This window comes from Homo sapiens, chromosome 14, assembly GCF_000001405.40.
Source record: "Homo sapiens chromosome 14, GRCh38.p14 Primary Assembly".
NCBI lineage: Eukaryota > Metazoa > Chordata > Mammalia > Primates > Hominidae > Homo > Homo sapiens.
The window spans coordinates 56889899-56904141 of NC_000014.9; the positions used below are offsets into that span (position 1 = coordinate 56889899).

Genomic DNA, 14243 nt, shown 5'->3' on the forward strand with positions numbered 1-14243 from the left:
CTGAATAAGCAAATCTTTTCTCCAGGTCAAAAGTGGTAAAATAGGTGAAATCCACAGAGATAATGAAATACAACTATGGGTAATATAAAAAATGATGCAGCATTATTGGCAGTCGTCTCTCAGCCTGCTTTTAGGTTTGTTTTTACCTTTGATCTTATCAAAAAATATACAAAATATAGCTACTTACATCCATACTCTTTAAGTACATCTTATGTTCATCATTTTTTCTTTTTTATTTAAATAAAAACTGTCTGAAAAATTAATACACTAGTTATTTCAGGGCTCTAAGCAGTGATCCTAATTTGCAAATAAAAACACTTAAATTAAAAAAAAATACTTTTTGTAAAGACAGAAGCCACTTAAAGAAATTGTCTGAATGTTTGCACGTATTTCACTGTCTAATGCTCCAATGGAAATGATCAATAAACATTTGCATAAAAAAGACCAAATTCATTGCATGTGTGTTTTAATAATAATTGGAAATCTTTACCTAGTGGAAAATTATTTCTTGTTGTTCTGCATGCACGTGCCATCTTTTGCAAGTAGGCAATTAAATCCAGCAGGCAACGTTCTGTAGTGATACTTGGGGTAGTTCTGAAAGTTCTAAAGATTCAGAGGTAGTCCTGCAAATGCACATAACCCACAGCTAAACACAGTTCCCATAAATCAAACCTGGCATCACTTCTACTATTAGGGAATGGCTTTTGTGTTTGTTTTTGTCCCCCATCACTATCATCTACCTACTCACCTTAATCATGTATATGAAATAATTTTATTAGAATTGAATAGAAGAGATTCTTGATCAGAGGAATCTAAAGCTTTTGAAGACAGCTTTTTCTTTTAAGAAACTAAGACTTGCGTGAACCATGACAATGCAGCACACCTAGTTATCAAACAGGGTTGAATATACTCATTAAAACTTACTAGAATGTGAACATTAAAATAACTGCTATATTTCCCGTTTTCTCTTTCTTAGGATCCATGCAACTTAGGTGTACATAATAGGTTTGAGTCGATTGGGTTGCCAAAATTAAAATATTTTTTGTGGAGGTTAGTTGTTGTTATTGTTACTGTTTCTTCTACTGAATAAAGCTTTCTTTACTAAGAATAAAGCCTTAGAGAGTTTCTGAAGCTTATAATTTAATGACCATAAATACTAAGCTCAATCAAAACAAATGCTAAAAAAAAAAAAAAAGGAAAAGAAAAGAAAAGAAAAAAAAAAAAGCCAGCTCTTAATTCTGTATTCTGATCCATCAGTGACTGTATAACTATATCATTAACGATGTTCTCTAACTGGGGAAGTCCCTACCCTAGAGTGTAAGGGATCAAAGAAAACATTCTTTTCTGTCTGGTACACTTAGTAGTCCTGCCTCCCAACAGTGGGATAAAAGGAACTTGCTAAACTGTTGCCATTTTGCAACATCTGCTATAATTCCCCTAAATCCAGATTTGCCTGACACAGAGAGGCCTGTTCTTACATCATTGCCATGTGACAGTATAACACCAGTCACATCAAGCTTGGGGATTGCAGCTTCAGGCTATGATAATATGAAGAAAACCTTTTTGCCTAGGGCAAAACACTTGTAACAAAGTATTATTCATCTGGCCAATTTAAATCTTCTCTCAAAAAGGTATCCAGAAACATATGCAGTATTCCTTTGTAAAAGGCTGGAGCAGCTCATAGGCAAATGACCTGAACCAAGAGTACAAAACCTAATGTCCTGATTAATTACTGCTAAGCAGCTCTGATACACAGAAAGGAGAATGCTGGTACTAATCCTTAACCCTGTCCTACATTCTCAAAATAGGCCAAACATTGCTGACAGTTACAAAAACAAACCTGTCCGGGTTTGTTTTTTTTTTTTTTATAGTAGTACATTATCACTCAACGCCCTCCACCTTATAAAACAAGGATGCAGTTCATATCAGTAGACAGATCAGGGAATTACCAGTCCAGGGGACTTCTTGGGACAAGGGCACAGGCTCACAGAAAGAAAATATCTGAAGGCACAAAAAAATCTAACAACACACACAAACTCAAACAGAAATATTGCAGGTGTTCTTATTTTCAGAGATCAGCTTGCATAAGATTGAGCTTTTCCAAAAATTGTTCCTTGAGTTGAGCAACCTCAACACAGCAATTCTTTGCTGATTAATGTGGAGCAGACAGACTGTAATGCTTAGGATTTTCTTAGGATGAGATGTTCAAATTCCCTTTACCTATAAAAATAAGGGGATACTCATAGTTCACTAAAAATATCAGACATTTTATAATTCCAAACTATTTGAATTGTGAAGCTATATTGGCTTCGATCACTCAAATTACAGGTACTTTTATCAATAAAGCAGACATCTGGAGTTTCTTTCACTTTTGCTGAGCAAGAAATCAATGGTTAAAAGAAGAAAGTCCTATATAAGGAAAAAGGAAGTTGCATATCTTAGCAGATTTTTTTCAGTTTTTAAAACAATCAGAAAGTAACTAAAATACAGCTCACGTTACTACCAGTTGTGACAGTTTTATATCATAGGTTAATCACATTAAAATATACCTCTCTTGGGCTTTATGTGTGAAACCTGGCACTCAGATAGCACTAATTCAAAATAAATAATGAACCTTACCTATTTTGAAGACTGCCTTTAATTTGACATTATTTTACAGGCACACTCCCGCCTCAGTTTTCCAAGAAATAGTGAGAAACAGGAAGCCAATCAAGGTCAAAATTCTGAAGGGCCAGCCTAACTATCATAGGGTCATTTTCCCCAGGTAGCTACTAAAGGAGAGGAGACATATTTTCACCTGAAATACACTCATTATTAAGTCTAATACCATTTTAGATTTTGAAGACTTCTGTGTGTAAGCCCATTATTTTTAGACACAAACATTTTCACACAGCACAGCAACTCATCCAGTGTTTAACAGACAGCATAAGAAATGAATTTTCCACCTGTCCAGATAAAACAGGATGCCGGAAGCCCAAGACAATACAAGAAGCTGGTTCAACGTAGCAGCCTGAGTGTTGACAGTCTCTGCTGTTTTTCACAGCATCATGTACTTGTTTCTCTTTGTCCAACTTCTTTTCCTTCTTTTCCCTACCCATTTTCCCTCTCTCCCTTCCTCAGCTGGTCCCCAAGGGATGCACTTTAGTTTCTCAACAATCCTCATCACTACCCTCTCCCCACACCCGACTTTCTGAATTGGAGTGACTCACCTTCTCATTAGTGGGGTTGTAACTCTTGAGTCAAGTCACCTGGGTTCATAACGTCTTCACAATTCTGAGCAACACCTGCTCCCGGGCATGACGACTTTTGATGGCAATTGTCCCTCCCTGAAGCCTGAAGCTCCGACTCTATTCAGGGGCAGAGTAAAGAACCAAATAGCTGTTTCTCAGGTTTGGACATCCCACTTGACAATCCTGCAGAAGTGAAAGAGTTGCTTTATTATCTGCAAAGATTGACACAATTTAGGGGGAACTTTCTCCTTTCTGGTCTGTGGCAGGTTTTCTTTTGCAGATTTAAAACAGAAAAGTTAAGAAGGTTGAAAATCACTGCCCTTCCTGGAATTTGAACTGAATATTATTAGGACTGGAAATACTCAAGCATTTCCTAGTTTCCCTTTCACTAATCAGTCTCTCTAAGGCATAGGAAGTACAATGGAGAGCACATATATTTTGGATTAGAGAGACACAGGCAGGCTTAAAACCTGGCTCTCATTTATCAGCTCTACGATCCTGAGTGAATTACTTGACCTCTCTGAAACTCAGTTTCCTCAGCTATAAAATGGGGGCAAGTAAGGCCTATTTCACCCCGTTGTTGGGAGGATCAAATGAGATAATGAATGTAAAGCAACCTCTTTAACCAACCACAACAATCCTATTAGGCATTATAATCTCCATTTCACAGAACGGGGGAATGGGGAATGATTCAGGAAGGTTAAAGCACATGCCAAATGTGACAGTCACATTGTAGGTGTTTAGTAAACGGGGTCTATTATATTCATCAACCCAAGAAGCATGGATTCTCACCTATCTCAAAATAAATCGTTAGCAAGTTGGAGGGCCTTTGCTCTAGTGGGTGAAACAGCCAAGCTTCCTTTTTAAATAGCTCCTCGGAGGCCTTTCCAGGAAAGCCCAAAGGGAAAGGTTCTTCTCATTTTCCAAACCCTGACTTCATTGTAGGCATTACTGAAATGTTACCTCTTTAGTCAACTCGACGACACTTCTAGTTACCATCTCCTTTTCCCAGAGCAGGATCCAGAACTTTGAGAAATGTCAAATCATTTGTCAAAGGTCATAGGTATTACTTATGTTGGAACCAGATTTGTAAATCTAGATCTCTATGTCCTTGAAGACAATGTTTTTCCCACCCCGGCTCATGGCTCTCACTCACCACCCATCTGCTCAGGGCATGGAACCATGGTTAGATGTTGGAGGAAGAATGGCTAAACCTTTTCAAGGGGCATGCTCTGTGGCAGGTTCTTCTGTTAGCCCAACAAAACCATCACGTTTTCTAGAATGAAGCCTAAATAGAAATGAATCTTAAGTAAAAAGCAGAAATCAGGGTCAAATAACTAGATCAATAAACTGAAAAGGGCAATACAGTGGAAGGCATTTCAAGGTGCAAAACAAAGGAGAGGAGAGTCAGATCAAATTCCAAATCATTTCCAGGAGGAATAGGGACCTAACAGTACAAACTTTTAATTGTGTACATGCTAAAAGGTTTAGAAAACCAGGTTAGTAATAATGGAGATGTTTCTCTCCTGCTGATTCCCACTGTTCTTTGTACCTCACTTTCCCCTCCAACCCAAACCCCACATCCTCTCTGGCTCACTAGGGATTGTGAATGAAAGACAGAAAATGAATTTAAAGAATCCACAAGGGTACTCTATATCCTTGCCTTCGCACCGACCCTCAGGTGATTAAAGAAATGTGCATATGAATCACCTAGTGATCCTGTTATAATGCAGATTCTGGTTAAATAGGTCTTGGGGTGAGGCCTCCATTCTGCTTTTCTAACTGGGAGCGCAGATTTCAGATAACATCACTCAGATTCTTCAGCTTTTCTTGAAATGTCAGTGCAGCCCTTAGAATTCAAGGTATCCTCGTGGAAGTGGGGCCGTGAACTCTGAAGTGTTACTCCCTCCCAGACCTCAGAGGACTCTCAGCTGGAGGTTCTCGATGGTTAGAACAGAATCTGCCTAAGTAGAACAGGCACTCAAGTTAGAGCAGGCAGGCAACTGATTGTATAGACTCTCACCTCGAATCAAAAAAAGACAGGAAAAGAAAGGGCTGTAAGAGACCTAACTAACCCAAATGATAACCTGTGAATACAGACCAGACCCTGATTGTCTTAAAATCAAATTTCTTTCCAGTTGAACTTAAAAGGTGAACAATTGGCTGGCAGTAGGGCCTATTGGATAGAAGTCAGGGAGACGGGACGGTGAGTCATCAGGAAAGGCAAAACTATACTGATCCAGCACAGAACTGGGCTGGAGCAGGGGTCAGTGGGGACCTTCTCCTTCTTTTCGTCGGTTAGGGTAACTTTTCTGGCCCTGATAAAGTGAAAGAGAGTCAAGTGGGTGATTTGTACAACTGGTTAAGGCTTAAGGACATGAATTCTGCTGGAGGGGGCCAGAGGAGGGGTTGAGCCAGCTTCATGAATGCTGCTTCTACCCACCAGGGCTGAAAACTTTGGCTGCAGACAAGAGAAGGGCACAGCTCACTTTTTCTTTGGCTTTGTTTCTTGAAAACCTGCTAAATCCCAGCAGCTGCACCTTATATTGTCTTATATCACCCAGTAGCAGATTCAGGTTGAGGCTGAGGTTGAGAATATGATCAACAACCCCAGGATTTGGGGCCGGGCACGATGGCTCATTCTTGTAATCCCAGCTACTTGGGAGGCTGAGGCAGGAGGATTAGTTGAGCCCAGGAGTTGGAGACCAGCCTGGGCAACATGGTGAGACCCCCAGCTCTTTAAAAAAAAAAAAAAAAAGACTGGGCACCGTGGCTCATACCTGTAATCCCAGCCCTTAGGGAGGCCAAGGTGGGAGGATTGCTTGAGCTCAGGATTTGGAGACCAGCCTGGGCAAGATAGTGAGACTTCATCTCTACTAAAAAACAAACAAATAACAACAGCAACAAAACATGAGTGCTGGTACATTTCTGTTGACCCAGCTACTTGGGAGGCTAAGATGGGAGGATCACTTGAGACCAGGAGATCAAGGCTGCAGTGAGCTATGATTGTGCCATTGCACTCCAGCCTGGGCAACAGAGCAAGACCCTATCTCAAAAGAGACAGACAGAGAGAGAGAGAGAGAGAGAGAGAGAGAGAGAGAATTCCCAGGATTTGGGTATCATCACCCATTCCCTGGGAAGATTGAACAATATTAGATTTAAACCTACCTGCCCTCTGCCCCTGTGCTTGGTACTCCCAGGCAGAAAAGGCAATGAACAAGGTCAAGAATGCTCAGATGATCTAGAATGCCCTGTTGGGCAATTTGGTGAGAGAATGACAATGTGGGTCGGTTCCTGGTGTCTCATAGCAAGATTGTCTCTTGCATAAATTTTTTAAAAGTGCTCTTGGCAAGATAAAGGTATGAAGCTATGAGACATATACTCAAGTGTTTGGAAAAATTGTAACAATTAATCAGCCAGGCATGGTGGCTCACACCTTAATCCTAGCACTTTGGGAGGCTGAGGAGGGCAGATTACTCAGGAGTTCGAGACCAGTCTGGGCAACATGGCAAAATCCAGTCTCTGCAAAAAAAAAAAAAAAAAAAAAAAATTACAAGAATTAGCTGAACTTGGTGGCACGCACCTGTGGTCCTAGCTACTCAGGAGGCTGAGGTGGGAGAATCACCCAAGCCCAGGAGGCAGAGGTTGCAGTGAGCCAAGATCACACTACTGCACTCCAGCCTGAGTGACAGAGTGAGACCCTGTCTTAAACAAACAAACAAAAAACAATCGTTTTCAATTATTGAAAAGGAAAATCATTTTCTACTGGTGATGAAAATACATGCTACCTCATAAGCTCGGCAGACCAGCTCCCTCTTTTCAGAAGCTGGACAGAACCAGTGGTAGAAGTAAAGCCCTGTGAGTCACTCCACTTAGGCCAGCTACCATTTCACATCGCTAACACCCCCTCGAATCTGTTAACACTTTTTTTTTTTCCTAAAAACTTTCTTAGTGGATGTGGAAAAAAAAGGGAGGGCGGAGGGGCCTGGGGGATAAAGGCTACTGTCAAATTGATTAAGTGAACGCTCATTAGAGAAAGTAACAAGAGGCAAAATCTGCATATGCATTGCAGAAATGTGTCTGATCTTGCTTAAGTTGTAAAAGACAAAAAGGGCTGAAAACCTCCCTCGCTGGAAGTACTTGAGGGAGAACTGGGGGAGGGGAAAGTTCTCTAACAGTAACTTTCTTTCATTGTAAACACAAGCTAGAGCAGCCACAGACTCCAACACTCTGGTACAAACTTTGTTTTCTAATAATTTGTAGTACGATTATTAAAAAAAAAAAATTTAACCTGACTGTTCTTAGAATACACTAGCCACTTCCTCAATTTCTTTTAATGTAAGATGTGTGTGTGTGTGTGTGTGTGTGTGTGTGTGTGTGTTTTGAGACGGAGTCTCGCTCTGTTGCCCAGGCTGAAGGGCAGTGGCACAATCTCGGCTCACCGAAGCCTCCACCTCCCAGATTCAAGCGATTCTCATGCCTCAGCTTCCCAAGTAGCTGGGATTACAGGCTTGTCAAAGGTACATGGAGACTTAAACCAGTTGATTTTGTGTCACTGGGGCATAAGTTTTGTTATTGTGCAGTACAGAACAGAATTTTTTCTTCCCCACTTTTAAAAGAAAAACAAGGCTTCAGTCAACTATTTGTGTGTGTGTGTGTGTGTGTGTGTGTGTGTTGTGTGTATGTGTGTGTGTATGGTTGTTGGAGGTGGGTGGGGGCAACCCTCACCAAAGTCTTCTAGCTTATTGGCCCAAACAAATAAATCTAGAATGAAGATCCAGATTCCAGGTAGCAATGTTGATTTTGGAGGAGATAAGGGTCCCTCTGCTTCTTATGATGGTCAGCTTGGTAGTGTAATTCCAATGCTTACGCTAGCTACTTGGATAACCCTTTTAAGAGGATAGTAGTATTTCCAGTTGTCCCCATCTATGAGGGTGGCTTAATATTACAGCCCTAGGATATCATCAGGATAACCCTGATGATTTTTTGTCGGTATGTATTTTTAAGGACAAACGTTTCAAAAATAATGTCAAGTCTGAAGGCCCTGTTAATGTTCACACTCATGCATTCTTGCGATTAACGTTAAACGTTTTTGCTAATACCTCTAACTTGCCTCCTCCTCTCATGAAACCTAACCAGAAAATTTCTTAATGAAAGCGATGATGATGTCGACCTTAACCTCCAGAATGAAGATACTTCAGGACTTAGTCTGAGAAGGTAAGATAGACGATGACATCAAATGTACCCCAGTTGGCAGAAACCCTTAATTTTGTGAAGTTAAAAGTAAGAAAGACACAAACCTGACATTTCTTAGGTTTAGAAGATAGTCAGCATAGGTACTTGAGGTGTGAACCTAATTGTCTTGAAGATTTGAAAAGAAATGAGTAATAATCATAATTTTGTGCCAGAGAATGTTCTTTGAAATATCTGCAGACTGGAGACAAAGCAGTTCTTCTCCTATATGGGGTTGTCTGAGCCGTTTTGCACCATTATGTGCTTCGGAGATCCTTGTAATTACAAATTTAAGACTTAAATCTTCAGTCCTTCTTTATATTTCTAAACTACCCCCATAGGTATATTTACTTCTTTCTTTTGTCAAGCTTAAACATTTCCAATTACCTCAGCCTCTAAAGGGAAGCGTGATGGTTAAATTCCTGCACTAGTAATGACACTTATTAATCTAGTTCTGGTGAGAAATGTTGAACCTCTTGCCTTCCCAAATCATACATTTTAATTCTGAACACACCTCCAAAGAACACTGACATTGTTTAATTAAAATAAGAGTGCACATTAATAAGAAAGGATATCATTTTGTCATTTATATGTAATTCTATTTTGTTAAAAAAAAATGAACAGAGACTGGTAAGTTCCATAATTGCCCTCCATGGTGAAGAAATAAGTGTAGGAGAGAAGAAAAGCACAGTAAGACACATATGTTAGTAAAACACTCCTTAATACTACACAAGCTACAGAAAATGCTACTTTGCATTTGGTCCTCAACGTGGCTAACTGCAAGCCATTGAGTAAAAAGTGTACCTTTTAAACTAATTCCTTGGTCAGAAGATAGAGCCACATCTTGAAGCCTCCTCATTAATGTGCTATAATGGTCAAATAAGAGATTAATAGCAAAGTCACCTGCTAAAGCAACCAGGAACCTGTTGATTAACAATAAGCCTCCAAAAAATAAGATACCAGATTGCAAAGCAAAATCAAGTCCCAGGGCAACAAGTGCTTCTGTAATTTATTCCTTCTTTATATGAGGGCATAAAGCTCCCTTTATAAATGTGTTTTCTAGGTCCTGCTGTGAGCTGTAGGTGTGAGCTTTTCAGCTGATTTATTAATTTTAGTTTCAATCAACGTGTCACCTGCAGACACAAAAATGTAGGCCTCACCACAGAAAATACAATTTAAGGAAAAAAAAAAAAGAAAGAAAGAAAAAAATGGGGCTTTAATTCAAAAACTCTGCCAAGATTTTTTTTTTAAGATGAACACTGGAACGCCTATTCTTTGAGATCTAAAATAATTCCCAGCAACGTAATTAAAAAAATCAAAATTAAACATTTTTGTCATACTTCGAAAGTCAGTCTTAGACCCAGGGAAGAGTAACATGACGCTGCCAAAACAATCAGCTACTCTTGTCAGTAGGGGTACATTCTCCCCAAAGAATCGAATGAACAACAAGTCCCCTGGGCAAAATGTGCAAAAAATTCTCAATTAGTTGTCTTTATTTAGTGAGCACTATGGGGTCCTCAACCACACTATAGAATTATGGCAAGAAAGCTGAGCTCTTCACTAGCTTATTAGCATTCTCAGAGGGTTGGAGTGCTGCTGATAGCAGGCTGTTGCCTCCAAGAGCTGTTGGTGGGACCCCTACACTCCCGGGCTTTGTCCTTTTGTCCTTCTAAGCCAGCAGGAAGTACTGCCCCATGTTCAGGGCATTCTGGGATACCTTCATTCCATTCACAGTTTGCATTACCGACAGGGGCCGAAGTCTTTGTTATTGACTATGACCATCACTGTTGCAGGTTTCAATGAAAAGCAAAAGCAATCTGTATCAGTCAATTCTAAATGAAGGTTTAGGAAGTAGCCCCCTTCCAAATGAACATCCTTGTAGGGCTAGAGTGGCCTTACGTGGCCAAAGCCCCATAGGAAATCAAGGTCTCGGCTTATAATCTGGCTGCTGCATTCTTTTCATCCGAAAACTACAGTGTTAGGCAAGGGAACCAAAATGGGAGTGGGCTAACGCATATTCCAGACTGGTGCCTCAGCATATACATTTTTACAGCACTCCTTTGCCCATAGAGCTCCCCCAACACCCTCCTTCCCACACAAACCCACCTATCCCTAACTACCCTTTCCCCAGAAAAAGAAAACCAGAAAGATGAACACAATGAAAAAGAACTGGCAGCAACTATTAGAAATGCCTTTTCTAAAGAAGAGGGTATTTGCTGCTTTAGGGAAAACACTATCATTGACTAAATTAACAAGTTGTCTTATCAACTGCCATAAGCCTTGGAGTCTAATTAATTTAGTACTGATCAATAGTCCTGAATGAGGCATTGATTTCTGCCTGCTTGACAGGGCTGCAGCTGAAATCACTTTCTCTGTATGCCACACACACACACACAAACACACACACACACACACACACACGCACACACACACACGCACACACACACGGGCACCCGAAGCTTATGCGTTATCACATTAAGATTTTATTTCCCTCATCCCATATGGACATGAATTTCATGAACCAACTATAAATGAGGAAATGGGATGTAAAGCAACTTTGGAAGTAAGAACAGATTCACCAGAAAGTGCAAACAGAGCTTGAACACTCCCTGCCAAAGTTCTGCTTTATTTGAAAATGTCCTCTGAGTGAGATAAAACATTTAAAAAGAAAAAAGAGAAGCTGAAGGGTTTTGCTTAAAATACATAGTAGATGCTCTAATTGGTCACGAAACATGTAAAAATGGATTGGGTTATCCAAAGAGTAATATTCTTCTGTCTCTTGTTTTTTAAATGCTGATGATACTTTATTAAAAATATTCTGACCTAAAGAAATAAAAGCAGTAATGCTCTCTGGCCAAGGGCAGAAGCAGATGGGGAGCCTTTGATAAGAATGAAAACATGTGAAAGATCTACCCCAGATTTGTCTTTCACTGCTGCGATTGGTGAGCTAGGGGTGGGGGTGCAATGAGGAGGACTTCCCACTCTCCCCACCCCCACACACACCAAAAAAAAAAAAAATCAATGGGGATAATACTGGGACAGTATATGTTCAAAATAATTTAAGCATTTGACTTTTTAATTTTTACTTGGACTGACAAGATATTTATTCTATTAAGATATATATTCCAAAAAAGGGCTAGGTTTGCATCAATGTTTTCACATTTTCCTAGGACACAACCCTGCATTTTCTTTTGGGCCCCTGCTTGTTTTTGCGGCTGTTCATTCTCATTGTGCAAGGCCTCCTTTTGACACTCCTGAAAATCCCGGGACCTTCCCCTTAGGCCAGGCCACCGGACAGTTTTTTCTCCCATTCTTAAACATGACTTGAAATAAGAAGGACAGCAAAACTTTTCAAATATTTTAAAGATGATGCTTCAATTTCAAACAGGGAAGGAAGATAACTCAAGAGCTTGACTATCTCAGAACGATTTTCTATTCAATAAACATCACCAAGAAAAGGAAAAGGAAGATAGGAGAACTGAAAATATAAACTGCCTTTTTTTTTTTTTTGAGACAGAATCTTGCTCTGTCTCCCAGGCTGGAGTGCAGTGGTGCGATCTCGGCTCACTGCAACCTCCGCCTCCTGGGTTCAAACAGTTCTCTGCCTCAGCCTCCCGAGTAGCTGGGATTACAGGCGCCCGCCACCACGCCTGGCTAATTTTTGTATTTTTAGTAGAGATGGGGTTTCACCATCTTGGTGAGGGTAGTCTTGAACTCCTGACCTTGTGATCCACCAGGCTCGGCCTCCCAGAGTGCTGGGATTACAGGCGTGAGCCACTGCGCCCAGCCTGAACTGCCTTCTTTTACAGGTTGGAGAAACCATCTAAAATGATCAAAACAAAACAAGGAATTCATATTCTTTCCTGAGCATTTATTTAATACCATTTAGCTTTTTAAAGATTACACACACACACATACACACACACACACATACACACACACATATATATTTGAAAGTCCTAGGAGAGTCCCACCCTTAATCTCTTTGAGGCCTCTATGAGTTTCCATAGCACTTTACAAAAGATCTTTATTGAGGAAAGGATTGGACAAACTTTCCTTATATGTGTGGCCCACACCATTAATTGCCCCATCTCCTTTAGTAAGGCCTTATTCCTATGTAAATACCCTTGCATAATGTTACAGGCTATTGTTAGGCCAGCGCCAGTCAGTCGCCACTTATATGCATTTTTACTTCAATCCGCTGCTCAGAGAATGAAAAGATGTCTGGACTTAAGCTGTTTACCAACTGGGCCGAAGCTGCAGAGCGGCAAAACTGAAGAAAGCCCCAAGCAACTGCAGGAACAAGCTTTTACAATGCGAGCAGCCATTTTCAGTTGAGTTATTAACCCACCCTGAAACTCTTCTAAGCTATGCCTTTTTTAAAGAACAAATGTGCTGAATCAAACATGAATGAGCCAGAACTATGAAGAGAGAAATCCTCTAAAGAACTATTGAACACAACATAGGTTTGTAATCATTTTGTCTCAGTTGCCTGCTACCAACATTATCAAGGATGATAATGCTGGCTCAGTTGAGGCAATTGTCTCATAATTAAACAATAGTGCGGTACAGTAAAAACACACATGCAAGCGACACACATTCCGAATCACAAAACAGTGTGCAAGGCTGAGTTAATAGCTCACCACCAGGATCTACTACTAAAACCACCAGGATTTGACTACTAAAACACAGTGATCTTTAACGAGAACATTGGAAAACGCCTCCAAATCCAAGTCTGTGTGATTCTCTCAACCCTATGTGGCATCATCTGTGCTTAAATAGAAAAAAAAAAAGTTTTTTTTTACTTTATAGTTGTAATGATCCCCCGGCATGACACACCATGAAAATAAAGGAGCAAAATTCTACCAAAGGGAGCTAGCTTTTTTCTCTGAAATATGTGCTACAGGCAAAGATCATTGTATGTATTTAATGGCATCACAATCTGAGTAGTGTGGTATTAGCCTAAAGAAACTCTTGACTATTTGCATGCTTATTAGGATCCAATGAGTACTTAATAAGTGGATATATATGACAGAAAACATCTCATTGCATAGTTAGTGCTACAGGAAAGACGGGAAGACACACACACACACACACACACTCTGAAGAAAGCAGTCTTGAGTTAATTAACATCACAATGCAATCAAGTACAACAGTCATAGCTGAAAACCATTTCTATTAAAGCTGCTAGACTCAACCTTGCCTCTGCAGGTCAGCTATGGCACTGATAACCTTTCCAGCAGACAAATACATGTAACATCGCCTCATCTAATTAAAAGCTCAGGGAGGTGTAGAAAAATACCAGCACATTGAATCCAAGCAAATGAGTGCTGCCTTCGGCTGATGAAGCTACCATATGCTGCTGCTGTTTACTCTGGAAGGAAACTGAGTCACTTAACATTTCAATAGGTTAATCAATTGACAATTAAATAGAGAAATTGGTTAACTCTGAAAACAATTAACATGACACGCCATTAAGTACACTTTCTAATTGCCACAGCTGTGAGTAGAAATTAACGTGCATGTTAAAGGATCTAACTGGGGTGGCACTGTTTTTGTGTGTGTGTTTAAGAAAATGGAATTAGCTGAAAAGTCGGGTTTTACTTTTATAGATTAGACAGTAGGAATTCTATCATCAACTGCCGTTTTAGCAGAGGGGAGCTATGTATGCTTTTTCCTTCTTTTAAGGACTCACTTCAAGTTGTTGAAATATTTAATTTGCAATAATTAATTAAAATAGCCCAAACCCCTCCCACCAAATTACAGGTTGGTGAACAAAAA

The 14243-nt window shown here is 40.1% G+C and overlaps 1 long non-coding RNA gene across 2 annotated transcripts in view, besides 2 other annotated features; it reads left to right on the forward strand.

The window, feature by feature from the left end:
- Positions 1–14243, forward strand: part of OTX2-AS1 (OTX2 antisense RNA 1) — a 119303-nt gene that overhangs the window by 77893 nt on the left and 27167 nt on the right. The window contains exons 2-3 of one of the 2 annotated variants that reach the window (NR_029385.2): positions 7642–7750; positions 8370–8447. The exons of the other annotated variant lie outside the window; for it this stretch is intronic. This is a non-coding gene — a long non-coding RNA (OTX2 antisense RNA 1). The remainder of the gene's footprint in view (positions 1–7641; positions 7751–8369; positions 8448–14243) is intronic. 2 annotated transcript variants of the gene reach the window in all.
- Positions 5057–5622: an enhancer, noted in NCBI's record as "OCT4-NANOG-H3K27ac hESC enhancer chr14:57361673-57362238 (GRCh37/hg19 assembly coordinates)". NCBI's record gives its function as "activates a minimal SCP1, AML or CMV promoter by ChIP-STARR-seq in naive H9 embryonic stem cells {active_cell/tissue: H9 hESC(naive)}" and the evidence as "EXISTENCE:reporter gene assay evidence [ECO:0000049][PMID:30033119]".
- Positions 13274–14200: an enhancer, noted in NCBI's record as "OCT4-NANOG hESC enhancer chr14:57369890-57370816 (GRCh37/hg19 assembly coordinates)". NCBI's record gives its function as "activates a minimal SCP1, AML or CMV promoter by ChIP-STARR-seq in primed H9 embryonic stem cells {active_cell/tissue: H9 hESC(primed)}" and the evidence as "EXISTENCE:reporter gene assay evidence [ECO:0000049][PMID:30033119]".